Raw genomic sequence first — 23,381 nt, 5'->3', positions numbered from 1 at the left:
GAATATCTATTTTCTTTGCAAAACGGAACTGTCCTAGTTCAAGCATTTTTGGTCTACCTTTCCTTAACCCCTAGCCCCTAAAATGTACATAATCTAAATATATTTTTCTATTTCTATTAATTATAGACTTAAGATAGTACATTTTATCCTGTGCTTACAGATGTGATATCCCTAAAGGAATTATCTTTTGCAAAAAACTATAACATATTTGGCTAAGTTACAATTGCATGCCAGCTATTGTAAAAGTCTGATTTTCAGCAGTCTTTAAGAGACTCTGGAGGGTAACACTGAATCTCAAGTTTGCCTTTCAGTTTTCATGGTTGTTATAATTTTATATAGTATAATCCTTACTATTGAGGTATTTCATTTTAACCATGGGAGAACTTAATTTTATCTTACTGATTAACTAAAAAAGCTATTTATCATCCTGAAAATAAAACAGAATACTAGTATTGCTTTGGTTTTTCTTTTAGCCCCTGTTTTTGCAAAAATAATGTGTAATTATTGGCAGAAAATTTGGTGTTTTTCACTGAAGCCTTTGTTATATTTTTGACATATAATAATTGCATATATTCAGATAGTTAATGATGTTTCCATAGATAGATATATATTGTACAGTGATGAGATCAGGGTAATTAGCATATCCATCATTTCAAACATTTATCATTTATTGGTGTTGGGAACGTCCAATATCCTCCTTCTTACTATTTGAAATTATATTATTGTTAATCATAGTAATTCTACAGTGATACAGAACACTAGAAATTATTTCTCCTATCTAGATGTTATTTTGTATCCTATAACAAATTTCTTCCTATCCCTCCTGTCCCACTATCCTTTCCAGCCCCTAGTATCCTCTGTTCCACTTTTTACTTCTATAAGATAAACTTTTGTAGCTTCCACATATGAATGAGAACATGCGATGTTTAAGATGTTTAACTTTCTTTTCCTGGCTTATCTCAAGTAACATAGTGTCCTGTAGCCCTGAAGTGTTACGTTATTGCAAACGTGAAGTCTTAAGACAGAACCCCTTGCCCTCTAGAAGCTCATCACACAGTAGGTACAATTCATACAGCAAAGTAAAATAGAAGCTTTTCGGTGTTTTGAGTAGACGGTTGTGGATCCAGTGATAGAGAAAGAAAAAGTTCACTGGGAAAGTTTTTTGTTTTTTTTTTTGTTTGTTTGTTTGTTTGTTTGAGATGGAGTCTCACTCTGTGCCTAGGCTGGAGTACAATGGCGTGATCTCAGCTCACTGCAACCTCCGCCTCCCGGGTTCAAGTGATTCTCCTCCCTCTGCCTCCTGAGTAGCTGGGATACAGGTGTGCACCACCACTCCTGGTTAATTTTTGAATTTTTAGTAGAGGTGGGGTTTCACCATGTTGGTCAGGCTGGTCTCGAACTCCTGACCTTGTGATCCACCCGCCTCAGCCTCCCAAAGTGCTGGGATTACAGGCGTGAGCCACCGCACCTGGCCAGAAAGTTTTTATTAAAGGATCTAAAATGCCATTAGACTTGAGTGAATGATTGATTAGAAATGTGTTAGATAGGAAAGGGCATCCCAAGCAAAGGAATATAACAGTAAAGATACAGAAATGTTATCCAGGTGCGGTAGCTCACGCCTGTAGTCCCAGTACTCTGGGAGGCCAAGGCGGGCAGATCACGAGGTCAGGAGATCGAGACCATCCTGGCTAACACGGTGAAACCCCGTCTCTACTAAAAATACAAAAAATTAGCCAGGTGTGGTGGCAGGCGCCTGTAGTCCTAGCTACTCGGGAGGCTGAGGCAGGAGAATGGAGTGAACCTGGGAGGCAGAGGTTGCATTGAGCCAAGATCGCACCACTGCACTACAGCCTGGGTGACAGAGCAAGACTCCATCTCAAAAAAAAAAAAAAAAAAAAAAAGATACAGAAATGTTATATTTAGGGAAAGTGAATAGAATATTAAGGAGAGTTAAAAGTGCATGTTGAATTGGTAAAATGACAGTAGAAGAAAGTATTTAGAAAGAAGACCTCTAACCATGTTATGAAAAACAATTTAAATGGAATTCTGAGCAATTTATTCTTTATCTACATATGTACATTTTTCTGAGGCAGGTGAATGTAAAGGAAGGGGATTAAGGTACTTCTTGATATTTTATAACTAACATTGTTCTTGTTACATTACATGAGTTTTATCAAAATTTGAAGTTGCATTTGTAATACTTTCTGTAGGCCTCTACAAGAATTCTGTTCTCCTGGTAATGAATTCATTGTCTGCTATATGAGACAAAAGAAAATATAACCATATTTCTCTTTTAGCAGTTATGAGTGTTGTGGTATGAATCATCCTATGTTTAAATTAGCAATGAGATGTAGAGACAATAAATAAATATTTGATGTTAACTAAACTCTGAAAACATAAGTCACAGTGTTTCCCTAATACTTAGCTGTTCAGAAGATTGTATCTATCCTTTAATTTACCTATTCTTTAAAAGTATTTTTAAACCTTATTATCTGAGTCCCTGGGGATATTGCTGTTTAATGCAAGCTATCCCTCCTTTACATTTAATTTGTAATTAGCTATCAGAATGAATCATTTATATTTCCTTAAAGTTTTTCTATAGTGTCCTTTTATACATTCAATAGGCAATTTATTAAGGTAATATTAGTATGTACAACATTAGTATAACAAGTGAACTTTTAGGAAAAATGGCATAAAATTTTTGTAAATTAATCATGGTAAAATATTCAAAGAGCTGGGGGCTACATAGTTGTGCAGTAGACCCCTATTGATGATAGTTTTAGTATTTGACATAGTTTCTGTTTTCTGAAAAGATCAAAATTAGCAGTTCATCTTGATTTTAAAATGAGAAAATATAAATTAGCTAGTCTGTGACAGCTCATATATATACATTTTTTTCAGCTATGGCTATATCAAACTTTCAAAAATATTTATTATAAATTTTTATTAAAATACATAATTAGATGTTTTCATGTAAGTGCAGAAGGGTAATTATACTAAGCTTTTCTCATGCCAGGGTGAATCCAAACTGAGTAAACTGTGTAGGCTATGCTTGTCCTAATCTTTTCATGTTTTTTGATTGCAAGAATCTATTATTATAAAAAGATATACATGGTACTAGCTTTGATCTTCTTCCTTAGGCATGTAAGTGAAACCGCCTTCACATTTCCATAAGCTCCTTGTTTTAATTACAGTGTAAAACACTATGTTTCATATAATAGGAAAACATTTAAAATAAGATTAATCTGACTATCTCAGAAGTGTGGGATGAAGCATTAAATAGGATAAATGAAAAACACACATATATACAACATGTTTAGCTTCTGATTCAAGGAACTCAATAAAGTGGATATATTTTTAAGTAATCATCTTGAAATACTGAAATTTTTTTTCATTTGACTCCTATAACTAATGTTTTTAAAAACTGAATTTGAAATGGAATATCTGGTTGAAAAATACATAGGTGGTTTATATAGCAGGCTATTTTTAACTGAGATTTCCTAGAGGGATAATATAAAACTGTCCCCAAAACGGTAACAATATAAATTGTCTTTAAAGGTTGAAACTTGCTTTAGCGAGCTGATAACATAGGCTCGTTAGGTAAATCCCATTAAGTCTATCTTATTCCTGAAAAAAAAAAATGTCATTTTTGAATCATGATGGATTTGTGTATATCTCTATATACATGTGAGTATTGAGGATGGGTGGTGTATTTGTCAGGTTTCTCTAAAGGGACAGAACTAGTAGGATACATGTATATATAAAGGGGAGTTTATTAGGAGATTTGATTCACACAATCACAAGGTGCAGTCCCACAATAGGCCGTTTGGAAGCTGAGGAGCCAGAAAGCCATTCTGAGTCCACAAACCTCAAAAGTAGGGAAGCTGATAGTGTAGCCTTTCGTCTGTGGCTGACGGCCTGAGAGTCCCTGGCAAATCACTGGTGTAAGTCCAAAAGCCCAAAAGCTGCAGAACTTGGAGTCTGATGTTTGAAGGCAGAAAGCATCTAGCACAGGAGAAAGATGCAGGCCAGAAGACTCAGCCAGTCTAGTTCTTCCACCTTCTTCTGCCTGCTTTTATTCTAGCCACGCTGACAGCAGATTAGATGGTGCCCACCTAGACTGAGGGTGGGTCTGCCTCTCCCAATCCACTGACTCAAATGTTAATCTCCTTTGGCAACCCCCTCACAGACACACCCAGGAACAATACTTTGCATCCTTCAATGCAATCAAGTTGACAGTATTAGCCATCACAGTTGGTTTGCATATTTTCCCAAGGGATTTTCTTCTGAGATTTTCCCAAAGAATTATTCTGTATCTATCCCTCCCTATAGGTGAACATTTGGACATTAAAACAAAATAAAATGAAGAAAACATCCAACTGTCAACTGCACACTTTTTAACCTTAGCTGGATCCTCATTGCTATTAGAAAGTTATTCTTGCACAAATTCTTAGTTGATTCCTTTCCTAACGCTACAGCAATCATTCTAAACCTTTACCACCCTTTACTGTTCTACTGTGTCCAGAGTTGGTTCCTTCCGGTGGGTTCACGGTCTCGCTGACTTCAAGCATGAAGCTACGGACCTTAATAGTGAGTGTTACAGCTCTTAAAGATGGCATGGACCCAAAGAGTGAGTGGTAGCAAGGTTTATTGTTAAGAGTGAAAGCACAAAGCTTCCACAGCGTGGAACGGGATCCAAGGAGGTTGCTGCTGCTGGCTGGGGTGGCCAGCTTTTATTCCCTTATTTGTCCCCTCCCATGTTCCGTTTTTGTCCTATCAGAGTGCCCTTTTTTTAATCCTCCCTCCAAGTGGCTACTTTTAGGATCCTGCTGATTGGTGCATTTTACAGAGTGCTGATTGGTGCATTTTACAGAGCACTGATTGGTGCATTTTATAGAGTGCTGATTGGTGCATTTTACAATCCCTTGCTAGCTACAGAGTGCTGATTGGTGCATTTTACAATCCTCTTGCAAGCTACAGAGCACTGATTGGTGAATTTTATAATCCTAGCTACAGAGTGCTGATTGGTGCATTTTACAGTCCTCTTGTACGACAGAAAAGTTCTCCAAGTCCTCACTCGACCCAGCTGGCTTCACCTCTCACTACCTTCTTCAAATTTCTAAAACTAATCCTGCTTCTCAGTTCCTTGAGAAAACACAACCGACTAAGACTATGTTAACTTTCTTCCCTACCAGCTAAAAATCAATCTATTTCATTTTTCCATCCTTTTTCTTCAGGGCAAGTGTTTCTACTATTGTTTCAGTTCTTATTCCATCTCTACAAGTTTTTCTTGGGCACATAGCTCTACTTTCACCTTCTTCTTGGGCCTCTAGTCTCTCTTCCTCTAGTGGTATGTTTCCCTCAGCCTATGAGTCTACTCCAGATTTTTAGAACTCACTGTACTTGAACTTTATCATGAGTGATTCAGTTATCAGAATTTCACATAACTTTAGTAAATCTCCTTTCCCCTTGCATCCTCATCCTGTATCTGTGGCTGAACTTTGTTTCCTCTGCCTCACTGCCTGACCTGCTCTTACCTCTTTGCCTCTTCCTTTTGACCACCTGTTCATGCCCCACCCTCTTCTCACTTTAATTTAATCTACACCTATTTCTATTCCTATAGTTTTTCACTAACTTCTTTTAGCCCCAGTTCTCTTTTGTTTCCAGTTTTACCCAGTCTCCTGAATTACAGACTTAAATATTTCACTATTAGATATTTCTTCTTGGATGTCTCCAAACCATCCCATAATCAGTATATTTTTTAAATGGTTAGAAAGTCATAGATTTGGGTTCAAATATCTGAATTTAAGATGCTGGCATTTATTAGATGGTGAACATAATATTTGACTGCAGTTTCCTCTTTAAATACAGTCTTGAAATTCCATTCAACCAACATGTTTTTCCACAGTACCATCTCCTCTCACCTAGATGATTGCAATAACATTCTAGCTGATCTCCCTGCTTCCACCTTCACTTCACTGCAGTATATATTCTCAACATAGTAGCCAAAATGATTCTTTCCAAAAGTAAGCCAGATCCTGATGAGAGAGGAGGAAGGAAGAAACCACTCAGTCAGGCAGTTAGGGCAGGTCCTCGGTAGAACTCCTTCAAACCAAGAACAGCCTGAAAATCAAGCTGTAGGCCCCAGATAAGAAAAAGCCCACATCCCTATATGGAAACACCCACTCTGTGAGCCCAGATGAAGAAAATTGACTACTTTTCTGGGCACATTTCTCTCCTTTTGGTGCCTTTGTCCCGTTTTGTACTCTTCTTCCTGATTATCTCATACCTTTCATCTGTTTTACATATACCTATCTTTCTGTGATTGGCCACAGGCAAAGTCTTAATTTGCATAAAGTGAAATGTCACTAAAGCTCTCAATTGGTTGCGGGCCAAGCCTTCACTTCTGCCTCCAATTGGTTCTTTACACTGTCCTGTGTCTTCCTGAGACTTGTGGTTTCAAAAATGGCTCATAGACCAGTCAACCCACTCCTCCTCATTCTCAGTCCATAAAAACCCCAAACCTAGCCCCACAGCCGGCAACCCTCTTTTAGACCCCCTCTTGCTGCTGACACCTTTTCTGTCACTTAATAAATCTCTGCCTTAGCCCTCTCCAGTCTGTGTGCCTTATTCTTGGTTGTGGGACAAGAATCCAGAACTCTCTGAATGGCAGAAGCAAAGAGCTGTAACGCTCCCACCCACTGAGCTGCTGGCTGCAGGAGTCAATGAGCTGTAATACTCCCTGTCACTTGCAGAACTACAGGAGTGAAAAAGTTGCAACACTGTTACACTCCTCAGAATTTTTTAGTGGTCCTCCATCCTGTTTTTTGTTTGTTTGTTTGTTTGTTTTTAGTAAAAAAAAAAAACCTTTATCTGATCTCTGGAATCCCATATTCCCTGACCACATCTTTTCCTAATTTATCTTTTTCTGCAGCCACGTTGACCTCTTTAGTGTTCCTTAAATTTGCTGAGCACCCTCCTGCCTCAAATCCTTAGCCCTTGACCTTTAATTCAAATGGGTGTCACTCTCACCTTACTTCAGCTTTTATTCAAATGTCATATTCTCTGTGACATATACTCTGACCACCTATTTAAAATGTACCTGCCTCCATACTCTAACCGTCAGTCCCCATCTCTGTTCTATTTTTCTCAATAAGGTTTATCTTTTAACATGCTATACAATTGGTTCATCGGTTTTGTTTTTGTTTCTATCCTCCCATTATAATGTAAGATCCATGATAACAGGAATTCTGGCCTATTTTTATTTATTTATTTTCATTATCGTATCCCTAGTGCCTAGAACACAGTAGAAGTTCAATAATATGTGTTGCATAGATAAATGAACACATTGATGTGAGGTGGTGCTTTTTGTAAAACATTCTGTAAAACTGTAAAACATTCACTATTTATTCGTCTGTTATTTCTACTATTATTCCACTCCCCACCATGAGCAGGCTCACAGACACATGTACACATGAACCCAGTCTTTTTTTTTTCTATCTATATATCATAAGTTTTATGATGCCATCCATTGTTTAAGTCTATATACTTGAAGACATATTGGAGCCTTTCAAATATTTAGTCACCAATTCTTAACTCATATGTCACATCACTTGGATCAGAGTCTTCATCTAATTCCCCATTACCTTAGTCAAATCATCTTGAAATCTTCTCTAGAGAATTGCAAGAGTCTCCTAGGAGATGGCTTTGTAGCATGTTTTATTATTAATTACCTTTTCTTAAGTATTTTCCATGGCTTCAAATTATAGGCAAAATACTTCTAATGGCAATCAAGTTCCTTCATAACTGATCCTATGTTTTTAAGATGCTCTATTCCAACACCATAAATCATTTTTATGGTCTTCTTTACTCCTTTATATTTTCAACAAGTACTTATCAATTATTCACTGAGTCACACACTATGGAATGACATTTCCCCTCTCCACATAACAATTTGATATGGTTTGGGAGGAAGGGAGATAAAATCTAGCATTTCAAGACCGTAGATCAAACGCAAAGTAGCTATAGATAAAATGAACATCCATTCTGACTTTTCTGGGATAAACTTGGTTTATACCTGTTGTCCCAGTGTAATTACTAATAATTACTAATAATTACTAATAAACCTACTTTCAGTCTCAGAACTCTCTCAGCTTGGTGATAAATTATATGGTCTCTTTATCTATAAGCAAAATAATTTGAATTTTATTCCATGCTCTTTCTCTACATTAACTTCAAAAGTTATGTGACAGCCTAAAGCAAAATGTAAGCCCTCCTCCTCTAGCATTCAAGCATACTTATAAATATCACACACCACTGTTTGATGGGGAAAACCCAGGTCTTATAACCTGAATGCCATTTCCATTTCAGTAGAAAATGTATTTTTTCTCAAATGCACTGCAATAATTATTACCTTAGCAACCATTTACTCTAAATCTTACCTGAAATGTCCTATATTCCACTTATCCAAAGCCCACCCATCTTTAGAGGAATACAGACATCCCAAAACTATTTTTTTATTTGTCTCAGCCTGTCTCTTCCTGTGGTTTCTTCTTTTACCATTTTTTGGAGAGTGAGATCTGTAGACACAACTAGTCTATTGGATCCTTTAAGACAAAGACTGGCTTCTACATCGTTGATTCTACAGCACCAAGTCTGAGGCCAAATACAAAGTATGCTCAAGCAACTTAATGTGAAAAATAATTATGACAGTGATGGTGATGAGCATGCTGTTGGTGGTTAACTTAATAAAAATATAATAGGATAAAATAAAATGAGTTGTCACGAAATAGCTATAGTTTGAGTATGGAAAAGACTACTCTTATACCCTACATCTGTAGATTTTAAAGATATATGTGTTTGCAATGCATATTTACTGAAATTTATGCTGCTGGTATCAGGCGGAGGGAAGTTGAGGGAGAGTAAGGAAATATGTACCATATTAAATCAAATCTAGGATACCATTGAGTGTAAGATATAGTATTATTTTCCATATTGCTCGGGCAAAACTGTCAATTAAGTTATGGCCTAATGCTTTCATATCACTTAGAATTTTTATTTGATATTTATTGAAAGAGCTCACCGAGACCTATTTAATGTTGGATTTTTAAAATCTTGAGTTATTTTTATATACATACAACAAAATTACCAGTGAAATATAATGGCTAAGGTATTCCCAACACTTCTTCACATTCAGAGACCATGACTGTAAGAAACATTCCTATTTCAGACATATTAAGATGTAAAGAATAATTAGTTTGTAAAGGGATTCACGTGATAAAAGCAAATATGCTGTGGAAAACAAACATCTGATGAGTTTGCGAGGACTTGAGGAAAGGCTGCAGATTTCAAATATCCTGAAACAAAGGAAGGAAAATAGCAGACGTTTTAGTCACAAACAACTGTAGAAAATTTGAGTTAGAAAAAAAACCTTTATGGAAGTTTACTATCACTTCTGCCATCTAGTAGCAGAAGTTGTCACCTTGGAAGTCATGGAAAAAAAAAAGAAAATACTGTGATATTGGGTATCCAACTCACGTAGAGACGTGAAGCCCCAGTATCAGGATGGATGGTTAAGAACTGAATACTCAGAAATGGATTTTTAACTATAATATTAATATTTAACTCAACTAATTTTTTCTTTCTCTCAGAGCTGAGAAAGAAACTAAAATTTCTATGCTCAAGAGCCTCTGCTTTGATTCAACATCTTATATAAAACTAACTTGCTGGAATATCTATATTCCATCTTTGATCCGATAAAGCCCCTAGTCATGAACAGGAACAGAATTTTTAACTATTTCCAGAACAGATAGTGTGAACCTATAACAAAGTCAAGTGTATTAAAATTGTGTGTTTCAGCTGAGTGGTTAAAATTAAGAAAAATAATTGGTTTGTCTTTGCTGCCGAACAGAAAATGTGGATCATATTCATGTACCTTTTATGTATTGCTTTTTCACATTTCATGTTTGTACTGCTCGTTCTGCCCATGTTCAGATCATTCATATTTTATTTCGAAACATTTTCATTTTCAGATCAGCAGTTGTGTGATCCTGGTGAATTTCTTTGCCACGATCACGTGACTTGTGTCTCCCAGAGCTGGCTGTGTGATGGGGACCCTGACTGCCCTGATGATTCAGACGAGTCTTTAGATACCTGTGAGTAGAAAGGTTCTCATGCCATTCGGATTTACCTTACATGTGAAACTAAATGTCAGTTGTTTTCACAGATGACTGCTGTTCTAGATGATTCTTTCTTTCTTTCTTTCCTTCTTTCTTTCTTTCTTTCTTTCTTTCTTTCTTTCTTTCTTTCTTTCTTTCTTTTTCTTTCTTTCTTTCTTTTTTCCAAATAGCCTAAGAAACTTGAAACCTTTTGTTTGTGTTTTTTTTTAAATATGAGTATGTGAAGGAGAGCATAAAATGCAGTTTTGGAGTGTGAATTAACTTATGAAAGGAAGAAAATGTGAGGTTAATTATTTCAATGTGATTGTGTTAACACTAGAAAAAAATGACTTGAGAAAATTTAAAATATAGCGCTAAAAGGGAAAAGACCTTCCCCAATAAATTATCTCACACATTTTGAGACAGAAGGAATATTGAAGAAATCAAGCTTTAGTTCCCATGTTATTTATATTAATATCTCAGGGCAGTACACAAATAATTGAACATATTTTCCTTTGAGACTGAAAGATAGATAGAAACTTTATCCATTCATAGAGTTAGGATCTTTGTCTTTATAATATCAGATTCAGAAACCCTTAGTATACATGAATCCTAATCATAGTTGTACTACTATAACTTGGAATCCACCGAAGGCTTTTTCCATATTACACATACCACTATAACAAATTATAAATAATAATATGACCATAGCTAAATATGGCCCACTTTTTTTAATACCCACTTACCATAAGGGGTATGAACAGTCCCCTGAATATTGATAGTGATATTTCTAGAATTTCTCATATCAACCTGTGCTCTTCAGGCAACCAGGTATGCTGACATGTCAATATCATCCCCAGAGTAACCACATAGTTGTATGAAGCTAATGTGAAAAAAAAATCCGTCTTCATTACTTGATATTGTAGAAATAACAATTATTGGTTTCATTTTCCATTTTCATCTTTCCATTTACAAGTCTTGCAGACAGTTTTGAAGAAAACCTTGCTGTTAGAGGCAAATGCTTATTAATTTCCTTTATGTTTGACGTCCTTTTAAGGTTTCTCAAAAGGTGAATACCTGAATATTTGCAGGAATTGCTTCGCTTTATTTTGAGCCGATCACTTTTTCCACAGGAAGAGTTTATAGTCATTTACTGCTGCATTTCTAATTTTCACCAGTTTCACTAGTTAACTCCCAAAAACCTTTCAAAACTCTTTACTAGATTCCTTATAGCATAGACAAGGTTCTCAGCAGATAAGTTAAAGATAAAAGGTTCATAGGAAAAATTCTAATGGATAAATTGTGATAAACCCATATAGAGGAATATTATTTGGTAATGAAAAGGAATGAAGTACTCCTACATGCTACAACATGGATGAACCTGGAAAACACGCTAAGGGGAAGAAGCTCATCAAAAAAGATCACATGTTTTACGATTCCCTTCATATTATACAAGATGCAAAATAGGCAAATCTATAGAGACAGAAAGTGGGAGAGGGGTTGCCAGGGGCTAGGTAGGGTGGGACACAGGCAAGGGAATGAGGAATGACTGTTATTGAATATACGGTCTTTTGGGGGTTTATAAAAATATTCTTAAATTAGATTATGATGATGCTTGTACAACTCTGTTGATATGTTTTAAACATGGGAATGTACATTTTAAATGGGTGAATTATGTCATGTGAATTATATCTTAAATGTGTTTGAAAAGGGAAGATAAATCTCAATATTGTGCATATGGATGAAGAAATATAGGAATGTGGAAAAACAACAATAATAAATGCTTTGGCCCTACATTATACAAGTAGTGAGACCGTATTTCAACATCCCAACTCTTTTTAAGCTTTAGCCCTCTCCTTTTCAAGTGGTATCTAGAAATTCTCTCCTCTTTAGCTACAAGGAAAGACTTCCATAGCATAATCAGAGTAAGAGTCAGGTTCTTTAATTTTGGTATAGGGTCTTGCATTCTGCCCTGATCCTCCTGTGAATTCTGTGATGGAGAAAATAACAAGGACATGACACAGATTTGCAGAATTCATATGCAGGAAAGCCAGGGTGGAGGGGAAACACCATAGAACTGTGTGACTGGCACAATGCAATAGTAGTTGAGAAGAAATGGTGGCATGGCACATCTAGGTTGGAGTCTCCTTCATGCCGGTGAAGAATGATGAACAAGGATGTTCCCTTTGTGCTCAAGAGGGAGCTCAGTGGAGAAACAGACTGGAGAGATTTTGTGTCTAAATGGGGCACTAGTAACCTGTGTAGTCAGTAGGTAAAGTCCAGAGAGAAAAGAGACCTCTCAATGCATGTCGAAGTAGGTGATGACAAATATTCTGCCATCCTCCTATGTCCACTCCATGTCTCTAGAAACATGGCAGATACCCAGAAGGCCCACACCAGTGTACCAGGCCTGTATGCACCGACCAGTATTCACCCTGATTGATTAGGCATCTACTCAAAATGGTCAAAATCTCCACTGCAATGCTGTTAAATATTTGAATAGCCACCCTGCCCATAATGTACATACCACCTTGAATTTGTGTAAAAAGGTGGTCCTTCAGTTCACAGAGTTTAGGGGCTTTTAGCAGATGGAGGCCTCAAATTGGAAATTGCGTGTCAGTTAATTAAAAATAGAGATTGATATTCTGCTTACTTAGTTTGTAAAATAAAATTCATACCTGCTCAAGATATTCTTGGCAGTTGTTTAAATATACAGTCCTTTCCTCTCCAATAACATTTGATGGATCCAAAATTAAAATGTTTCTTCACTTTGGCCATTCATATTTTATCCTCTAACATTAAAATTGCTGAATATCCTTAAAGGCAACACTGAAACTGCTCTTTATTAATCAGCCACATAACAAAGACAGAGAAATAACTATTTTTTGTACCTGTTTTATTCATTTAATCTGTTCAAGATATTTAGATTTATATTTAATTGGCTTGTTCCCTATAAATGGTTTCCATCAATACCAATTGAAATTTGGACATGCATAGAAAAAAAAAGCGTTATGAAAATATCAGTCTTTGCCAAATTTAAATTTCTCAATCCAGATGTTCACCATTATCATTTTCTGTAATCACAGTACTTTGTAATGTGTTGTTTTATGATATTCACATGCAGTCATCACTAATCTACATAAAATAATTGCATAATTTTATATGAATGTATACATTCGATATGAAAGATAAATATTAACAACGGAAAACCTTGGAGACTGATTCTTAGGAAGGATAATTTGTGCTCAGTATATGAACAAAAGTATGTTAACATCTTTGCTTTGAAGACAAAGTATGTTGTATCTACAAAATATTAGATAAAAACAGCCGATGCAATAGTTATTTTTTTCTGAAATCCACTTAGCTTTAAAATGATAGAAAGACCACTCTAGCATAGAATTTATTGTGACATTGTGAAATCTCTGAAGTGACAAAATTCTAACAGGAATTAAATGGATATTGTTTGGGAAGAAGAAAAGCCTTACTTATAAAATGCTTTAGAAGGAAAACATATGTACAGAACAATAAGAAATCCTGGAAACTAAATAAAATTTAGATACTTAGAAATCTGAAAGTTTATCGAGTCCATATTTTCCTTCTCTTCTGTGTGTGTTTGTGCCCAGGATCTAGGGTATTCTCTAGTATTCATGAAGCAGGAGTTAAAATTTAGTGATACCAATACACATAGAAAACTGTTGTGTGAGGTTGACTTACAAATAAGCTGATTTCATGTTGGGAAGAATTATCTAAAATACACAATTGGAAAATTTTAATAATTTATAATCTTACCATTGTATATGGTAAGGACTTTTAGTCATAAAAATGAAAGCCTTTATTTCTGCATATTATTTAAAATAATTTTTCAAGTGTCTAAATAAAGACTAACACCAGTTTTAGGCTCTATGAGGCAATGAGAATAGAAAATCAGGGAAATCACCATCTTTCTACTCATAGCTTTCAACCCAATGTTGTTAGCATAGCATGTGATGAGAATGAAAATAAATAGTGAAAGTGTTTATTTAGAGAATGAAAGCTTGGTACCACCTGTAGCAGGAACGTCTTCTTGAAAGGCACTTTTATTCTGAGGTATTCAAGATTTAATTCCTTCTAGAATTTTCTGTGGAATGCTTAATGATACTTCCTTTTCAACACTTGGCTCCAGCTGATGTATGATATTTTCCAGAAATCTGACATCATTATACTTAAAACTAGATTATTTCTTTTTAAGAAAGGAAGGTATTAGCCATGCTATTCAAACTTCTTCCCTACTTCCTGCCCATTCCCCTTCACAGAATCATTGAGTGAGTTCTTCAGTCACAGATCATGTTTTGGGCATAATGACTCATTGACCAACAAAGGAGAATAAAAATGTCCTAAGCAATATTTGCAAGCTGGACTCTTCTCTGTCCTGTCCTACAAGGGTCAGCATGCTTTTTCTGTAAAAAGCAGATAGTAAATATTTAGGCTTTAAAGGCCCATACGATCTCTGCTGCATATTCTTTGTTTTTATTTGTTTTTCAGTTTGTTTTGAAAACCTTTAAAAGGGAGGAAGAAAACAAAATCTCTCAGCTTACAGTCTGTACGGTAATAGGCCACAGGTCAGATTTGGCCAGCAGGCTATATAATTTGCCAAATCTTTGTTGTAGTAGCGTAGCTGAAATATATCTGCTATACAGTTGAGGCAGGTCTGTGCTCAGGCACTGCTGCTCCATGGAACAGCATAACCTCACACAATGAATGCACGAAGCACAGAGTTTTGTTTGCATCTACCAGTCATGGTGCCAGACTGATGCAATATGGTGTAGTCTACATATGCTGGGTTTTGTTTCCTTCTATTTTTTCATACTTCCTTATTGGTTAGGATTGCATTTGACTGCATGTTATAGAAACAGTGACTTAACTGAATAGGGGTTTTCTTTCTTCATAAAAAGTTGCAAAAGTGGATAATTCAGAACTGCTATGACAGATTCAGAATGACAACAGGCTTCTTCTATCTTTCCTTACTCAGTCCCATATCCACAGTATGGCTGCTTCTCTCCTAGTAGATAACCTCATTTTGGAAAACCAGAAGGAAAAGAGTAAAGGGAAAAGGCAAATGCCAGTTGAGCCTCTCTGTTAGGAAAAGGATAAATTGCACAGAAAGCAAATGCAGTCGATCTCTTTCACCAGAATGGGTTATATGGGGCATGGGGCAATGAGTATTGTCAACAAGACCTTTTGCTTTCCAAAACAATATTTGGGGTTCTGCTAGTAAAGAAAAGGGGAGAAGAGATATTGGGCAGGCAAAGGAACTTGGTAGTATGTACCACAGTGTCCCTTCACTCTCCTCCTTGGCTTCTGCTGCATAGGAGATGGTATGCACAGTGCATGATCACAGCAACTGCTTGGCTCCAAGGCTCAGTTTTTCCACGAATATCTTTGCTCTTGGACAACTAATTTAACCATATTGTGCCTTCATTATCCCATCTGTACAATGGAAATGGTAGTACCTGCCTCACAGTAAAGTGCTCAGAATAAGTGCCTATTCCATAGTAACATTCCTTCTCCACTCTATACCCCATCTGCCTTCCAGATGCCCAGAGCACCAATGATGCATCTTACCTTGAGGTTCTTTTGATACACAATCTAACTGCCCCCTCTCGGTCGATCCTCTCTCATTCTTTCTCAAAACCTAACTGAAAGTCAGTTCTGTTCCCTAAGGACATGGCTGGGAAGAGGTTTAATCTACATATGCTAATTCAAGTTAAGTTATAAATAATTTTTAATGATCAGATATATTAAATTCAAACACTGGGATACATTTGGTATAGAAATTATTTGGGGGCAGGTGACTTTTTCTAGGAACTCTTCCAAAAACCTTGATGTTGAATAATTGACTAAATTTGAAATACATGTATTAAAAATACAATAGTCAAAAATATTAATTGACACTGAAGTCCTGAAATGTAGATAATATCTCATTTTTAAAAAATAAAGAAGTTGAGTTTATAATCCTTCTCTCCCCTTCTATGTTAGCTCTTGTTAGGGAAAGCAGAGTATACATTTCTTTGAATTTGCCCTCCTTTTTTGAAATACTGAGATAAAGCAGGATCCAATTCCTAAAAGAATCCTTCAGGCTACCTAATTTAAAAATACATTGTCATTTGAAAATTATGGAAGGCCATCCCAAAAGGATTGTTTCACACTGGCTTTGGGAGTGATCACTTCTAATTGAACAATGCAATAAAAAGAACAAGTCTCTTGGGTACTAGGAAGAGAAGCATCTATGAAAAATGAAAATGTCTATAAGTCATTAGGTGAGATGTGAATCTGCATGAATTGACCAATGATTCTATTATGTTTCCGTTGTTGTGAAATTTTAAACTTTATTTAGGTAGTAGGATTTTAATGAACTTCTTATATTCATACACTGACCTTTCCCCTTGGATATAAGATAGAAATCCTTTTATAATTTCCTTCTGAACTTTCTATCTTTGACATAGGTCAGAGAAATAAAATAGAATTCAGGTGGGAGGTTATTAGCAAACAGATACTGCCCTTTAAAATTATATAGTAGAATAAGGCACTGAAAGTAGACTATAGAAACTATAAAACAGATAGAAGTATGGTCCGTGTTTCTAAGTAATGGTGATTTAGAGGTCACTTTGCAATGAGCTAATATATGAGAGTCACAAAGCTAAGCTTTTCGTTAGGTAGAAAAGCTGAAATGATCTTACAGATTAAAGGGAAAGCATATGAGACCCATGAGGACAGTTTATGTCTCTTTCAATTCTTTTTGTTTTGTTCTTCATTTTATTCTGAGACTCCTCTCTTCAGCAGTAGAGAGGCCAAAAAGCATTGACCCTTCTTTAATAATAAAAAGACTCCCACTTAAGAGTTGATATGCAGGGGGGATAGGAAGGTGGGGATCAGTGTAATTGTGAATTGAAAGGGCCTAACACTGGTACATTTGCCCAGTACAGTGGGGTCAGAGTAGGGGGTGACATTACTCCTCATTCTGCTCTCACAATGCACTAATGGGTCTCTGAGAGTCTGCCTCTACAATTAAAAAAAAAAAAAGGTCGATTGCAGGCATAGGTGATGGAAGTACAATTCACACAGGCATACGAGCTCAGCAATGACAAAAGTCTCACCTTTTCACTCAAGAAGTCAGTGCTTTTCGGTCTCCTGATCCAAGACCACAGGTCACAGAATAAAAGGGGACACATGTCCCTCAGGCGGGGCTATAAACTATGGGGAATGAAAACTTTGAAATGAGGTAAAATAGCAGGGGTGAAATGAAATACAGGAATTCTGGAAACAACTGGTGAAATCTCCTTGGCTTAAAAGACGATGTACTGTAAACAAACGATCTTGCAGGACTCTACAGGGACAAAGCTGAAGACTGAGCAAGGAGTCTTCCCAGAAACTATTCAATCCATCATTTATCTACAACTAATCTAGCATTTGGGGTTGTGGATGAAGGCTTCTTACCTTTCATGTGTGAGCACATTTCTTCCCGGAGGACGCTTTATTCTTTATAGTCAGTGTATAAAATTTACATTTGACTTTCACTCAGAAGTGCTTCTAAAATGACATATTTTGCTAAATGAAGCACTAAAGGATGTCGTGTTCTAAGAACTTATTTTTAATGGTGATGCCTTTTTTTCTCTCTCCCTCTCCCCATGTCTTCCATCATTCTACCCTGAAATACCTCTACTCTCTGCCTATGGAATTTTCAGTAGGACAAAGCATCTCATCAGTTTATTAATTGCTATATTGGCCCTGTTGAAGTTCAGGCAATATAACTGACTTTGGGTTTTGTTTGTTTGTTTGTTTGTTTGTTTTTCTAAAAACTTCATAACATTAGCTTTTCTGATTTTCAGGATGGCAGAAATTGCTCTCAAAGGAGAGAAGTTCAGGCAAAGATAGGTGAAGAAGGGGTTGGGTAGGAGGGATCCAAACCTCATAGTTTCTATTTTTGTACTGAAGAAAGATACCTTGGGAGGGAAAGAGTATGCTCATACTGTTCACTGGTCAACCCTGAAAGATCAGATACAAGAGAGGAGAATCCCTCAAACTGAGACACATTTTCCTCGGTACCCAGCAGCAAAGAAGAAAGCAAAAACACTTCCCAACACCTCTGACTGAGTTGCCAACAGAAAAGTAATTGTTAACACAAAATACTCATCTTAGAATTCAGCATGAATTTAGCAAGCAGGTGGCCATTTACAAGCAAACAAAAGAGGCCTCAGAGGAAACCAACCTTGTAGATTTCTTGATCTTGGACTTATGGCCCCCAGAACTGTAGGAAAATAAATTTCTGTTGCTTAAGCCATCTAGTGTATGGTATTTTGTTATGGCAGCCCTACCAGACAAATTCCACATCTTACTATATATCTATTAAAAGTTGATGTATTTTAATACCAGTGTAAGAAAAATCCAGCAATTAAAAATTTCTTAAATTTTTCTTGAAGATATATACTAAATATTACTAAATTCTAGAGTACTAATGTTATAGACATTATAAGCCTGTTAAAGAAATGTGAAATGAAATCACCAGTTTCTGGTGGGGTAAAGGTAGTTACAAACCTTTAAGAACACCTAATGTAATTATACAGAGTTACTATGCAAATGAAAAAGCACTTCTCATTGAAAATCCACTGAAAAATTCTGTACTGCAAATATATGTCTTTTTCAAGTATTGATAGATGATGGGTTGCTCCAAACTTTTCAAAAGTAGGTTTGTCTGAGACCTGTCCTCCTGGTGATCTAGCACATGCAGATGGAAGTGCAAATAACGGCTATCTTTGCAAAGCTATCTCGTTACAACACAAAAAACAGGCCAGGTGCAGTGGTTCAACCCTGTAATCCCAGTGTTTAAGGAAGCCAAGGCAAGAGGATTACTTGAACCCAAGAACTCAAGGCTGCAGTGAGCCATGATTGAGCCACTGCCCTCCAGCCTGGGTGATAGAGCAAGATCTTGTCTCTAAAATATATAGAAACACACACATGCATGCATATATAAACAAACTTGTATACTTGACCTAAGTACCATTATTTTCTGAGGAAAACAGTAGAAATGTATAACAGATGCATACGTCCAAACATGCATATAATTAATATACTATATTAGGTTATAATCTGTATTAGATTATTGTAATTTTCAATTCTGAATCGATCATTGGGTTAGGCAATAAAGCCTATGTAATTTGACAGTAAAAAGAAATGTTTCTTTCTCCACAAGGGCTTTTGCAGAATTTTGTTACATTTTGCTTTCAAATGTGCACGTTAGGCAATTCAATTTTGAAATAAATGATACATTATTCATTTTCACTTAAATGGTGAAAAATATTTTGTCATTGAACTACATTTCTCGTAATATATAAATGCTTTTTATTTACAAAAACTAGAAACCATTCAATCAATCAGCAGCTATTTGTTGGGGGACTACTGCATCAAGGTGCTTCTGAGCACATAAAAGCAACAATTTATTCCATACCTTTTCATGTGCCATAGCTTTAACCTATGCTAGTTTTTTTCTCACTTTATCTATTCTGGTTAAATGCTATTCTTTCCATGATAAAGAAGATGATGTTTATGATAAAGATTCATGATGATTACTGACATGAATGAATGATTCATATGTGCCAGATACTGTGCTGTGAAGGTTACATGGATTATCTCCTTTGATCCTGACAAAAACCCTGAGCAGAGTGTCAGGTACAGTTGCTCAGGTTATCCAAGGTACTGGAGTGACATAAATATTGCACATAGCATGGGTGTATATATTTTCTCACAAATGGAAATAAATTATCTTGAAGAGGAGGCAATATTTTCTAATTTGCATGAAGATGCAATAGGAGATTTGTGGCCCTACTTATGATAGTATTCATGGTCCCCTTTTACAGGGGATAGAAATAAAGCAAAAGGAAATTTACTTAAAGTAATTAAGTGATAGAGCTACCAGTGAACACTGCAGCATGCTATACAGCCTGGAGTTCAAGGGATTACCAAGGTCAACATCTTGATGCTTAGTGGAGCAAGATTGTCATTCATGCCTGTGTCACATTGCACTCAAGTCAACCTGCTTTCCATGATGCCATACAACCTCATGTATATATGCTATCCAGATGTATGTATGTTCAGCCATTCATTTTAGACACAACAGATTTTAATTGAGTGACTACTATATGACAGGGCCTGTGGTTGATATTGGGAATAATAAGATAAATATGCCAAAGACGAAAGAGAGATGTAGTAATAATTGGAGAGAAGATTTAAATTGTTTATTTTCCAATTAGAAAGGATATGATCATAAGAGTATATATGTTACTGTGGTAATAAATGTATAATTTATATAGGTTAATATTTATATACATATGCACATGAAGTTTGTGTGTATATAAACAAATTAATCTGGAAAAAATAAGTATAACATTATCTTAGCCTCTCTCTCTGTCATACACACACACACACACACACACAGACACACTCTTTAAAAACAGATTGTTAAACGTAACAGTGAAGTTTCTGGATTTTTGAATCAGTTTTTTTATTTTTGTGTAATAAATTACCACAAATTTAACATGTTGAAACCCATTTATTATTTCTCAGTTTTGTGGTTCGGAAGTGAGGAGGGTTCAGAAGTGAGGATCCATAAGGCCTCACAAGGCTGAGATCAAGGACTCCCTCAGGCTGGGGACTTATCGAGAGGGTGTGAGGAAGAATCAGCCTCCAAGTTTATTTAGGGTCTTGGCTGAATTCAGTTTCTTGTGGTTTTAGGACCAAGGGCACATTTTCTTTCTGGTTGTCAGCTGCAGCCACGCTCAACAATTAAAAGCAATCTACATGTCTTGGCGTGCAACCCCTCCATTTTCAAACCAAGCAGTGGTGTGTCAAAACCCCCTCACGTTTCATGATTCAAATCCCTGGCTTCCGCTTCTGTGGCCAAATGGGGAAAACACTCTGTCTTTAAAGACATCATGTGACTAGAACACTTAGCTATCTCCCTTTTGTCACGGAATGTGATATAATCTTAAGAATGATATCACATTATGCTCACAGCTTCTACCCACATTCAAAAGAGAGAGGGTTAGACAAGGGTGAGGGTCATTGGGAGACATTAGAATTCCAACTAACATAGCGTATTCGTCTGCGCGGGCTGCCTTAAAAAAACACCACACACTGGGTGGCTTACACAAAACTCATTTATATCCTCGTAGTTCTGGAGGCTGGAATTCTGAAATCAAGGTCTCGGTAGGGTTGGTTTCATTCTTTGGCCTTTCTCCTTGGCTTGCAGGTGGCTGTCTTCATCTAGTGTCTTCACAGGGTTATCCCTCTGAGTGTATCTGTGTCCTAGTCTCATCTTCTCACAAGGGCACCAGTCATATTGGATTAGGGCCCACCCATAAAACCTCATTTTACCTTAATTACCTCCTTAAAACCCTATCTTGAAATACAGCCACATTCTGAGGTACTGAAGTTTAGGACTTCCACATATGAATTTTGGGAGGACCAATTCAGCCCATAACACACAAGATAATTTTGCTTTTTAAAATATATTCTTTTTTTTTTTTTTTTTTTTTTTTGAGACAGAGTCTTACTCTGTTGCCAGGCTGGAGTGCAGTGGCACCATCTCGGCTCCCTGCAATGTCTACCTCCCGTGTTCAAGTGATCCTCCTGCCTCAGCCTCCCGAGTAGCTGGGACTACAGGCACCCACCACCACGCCCAGCTAATTTTTGTATTTTTAGTAGAGACGGGGTTTCATCATGTTGGCCAGGATGGTCTCAATCTCTTGACTGCCTGATCCACCTGCCTCGGCCCCCCAGAAGTGCTGGGATTATAGGCGTGAGCCACCGTGCCTGACCTTTAAAATATATTCTAAGACGTCTTTAGTCACCAGCTTATCTCATAAAGATTACTTGTTACTTGTTTTAAAAGTTGAATTTGCTCCCTCTGCTTTTCATTGTGAACTTTAAGCTGACAGAAAAATCAGAAGAATAGTATGATAAACACCTGTATACACTGGATTTATCAATCATTACATTTTGTTGCATTTTTTCTTCATCTGTCTCTAATACATATTTGTCATGTTCACATCACGCATACATTTGTATGTTTATACATGTTTTTTGCCAAACCATTTTAATACATGCAGACATGATGTGTTTACACCTAAATCTTTCTAGGAACAATACATATTCTTATATAACCCTTACATAGGTATAATATTGTATAATATCTAATTCCCATTCAAACTTCTCCAACTGTCCCCAGAGTATTATTTGTAATTATTTTACCGAATCCAGGATCCAACCAAGGATAATGCATTGCCTATAATTGTCATAGGTTTCTAGTCTTCTTTAATCCAGAATATTTTCCCGTTTCTCTTGTTTATTATGATATTGATGTTTACCTATAGAATATCACACAATCAAGGTTTTTCTGGCTGTTTTCTGACCAGGTAAATATTTTCCCAATAATATGCCGTAAGTTATGGTACACTTTCCTCATTGTGTTTAATCAAAAGATAGGTTGGTTTGATGCTGCTTAATAGCTTCGTAACCAACATTAAATTACAACAAAATTTTTTCAGAACATAAGGCATAGCTGTAAACCTTATAGCTAAGTAGTTCAAGATAGAAGGAGTCTTGTATGGTTCTAACTCTTCCATTAGGAAAAGGACTTAGAAAACAATAAAACTTAAGACCTTAGAATCGAGCATATCCTTATGTTATGTGAATTTGAAAATATATACCAAAAGAAGAATGGGGCTGATAAATTTGAACTTTGCACTTTTTGAATTGTGTCACTCACCCTCCCTTTCCAATGCCCAAAACCTTATATTGGATTTTCCTAGTCTAGCTAAATATGACACACAGAATAACTGTTACTTCTGTTTCAAGGAACAAATACTCTGTTTCCCTCATGACACTGTTAGAATCCTTAAGGACAGCAATCTTTTCCTCTCTTTGTGTCTCCATCCATTGTTCTGCATACAGTGAGCAGACTATACATTTTTTTTTGCCTGAGATTTAAAAAATAAGTCCATAGGCAGTTTCAGATATGATGCAGAGCACTTGAATTCCCTGAAGATATATATAGTTATATATATATATATATATATATATATATATATATATATATGATTATTTTCAAAGTTAAACTTTAACTGGAAGTTTATTTGACTAGGTACCTTCTTTATAGAATTCATGAGTCACAGAATTATATCCAACATACTT

At 36.2% G+C, this 23,381-nt stretch overlaps 1 protein-coding gene across 3 annotated transcripts in view; it reads left to right on the top strand.

Annotated features, from left to right (window-relative positions):
* LRP1B (LDL receptor related protein 1B) overlaps positions 1–23,381 on the top strand; it is a 1,899,594-nt gene that overhangs the window by 310,584 nt on the left and 1,565,629 nt on the right. For all 3 annotated transcript variants that reach the window (NM_018557.3, XM_017004341.2, XM_047444771.1), the window contains exon 2: positions 10,032–10,154. In NM_018557.3, the coding sequence (NP_061027.2) occupies positions 10,032–10,154 (123 nt within the window). The remainder of the gene's footprint in view (positions 1–10,031; positions 10,155–23,381) is intronic.

Source organism: Homo sapiens, chromosome 2 (genome assembly GCF_000001405.40).
Source record: "Homo sapiens chromosome 2, GRCh38.p14 Primary Assembly".
Classification (NCBI taxonomy): Eukaryota; Metazoa; Chordata; class Mammalia; order Primates; family Hominidae; genus Homo; species Homo sapiens.
Note: the sequence above shows the minus strand (reverse complement) of the source record. Positions and strands in the feature narration are given on the sequence as shown.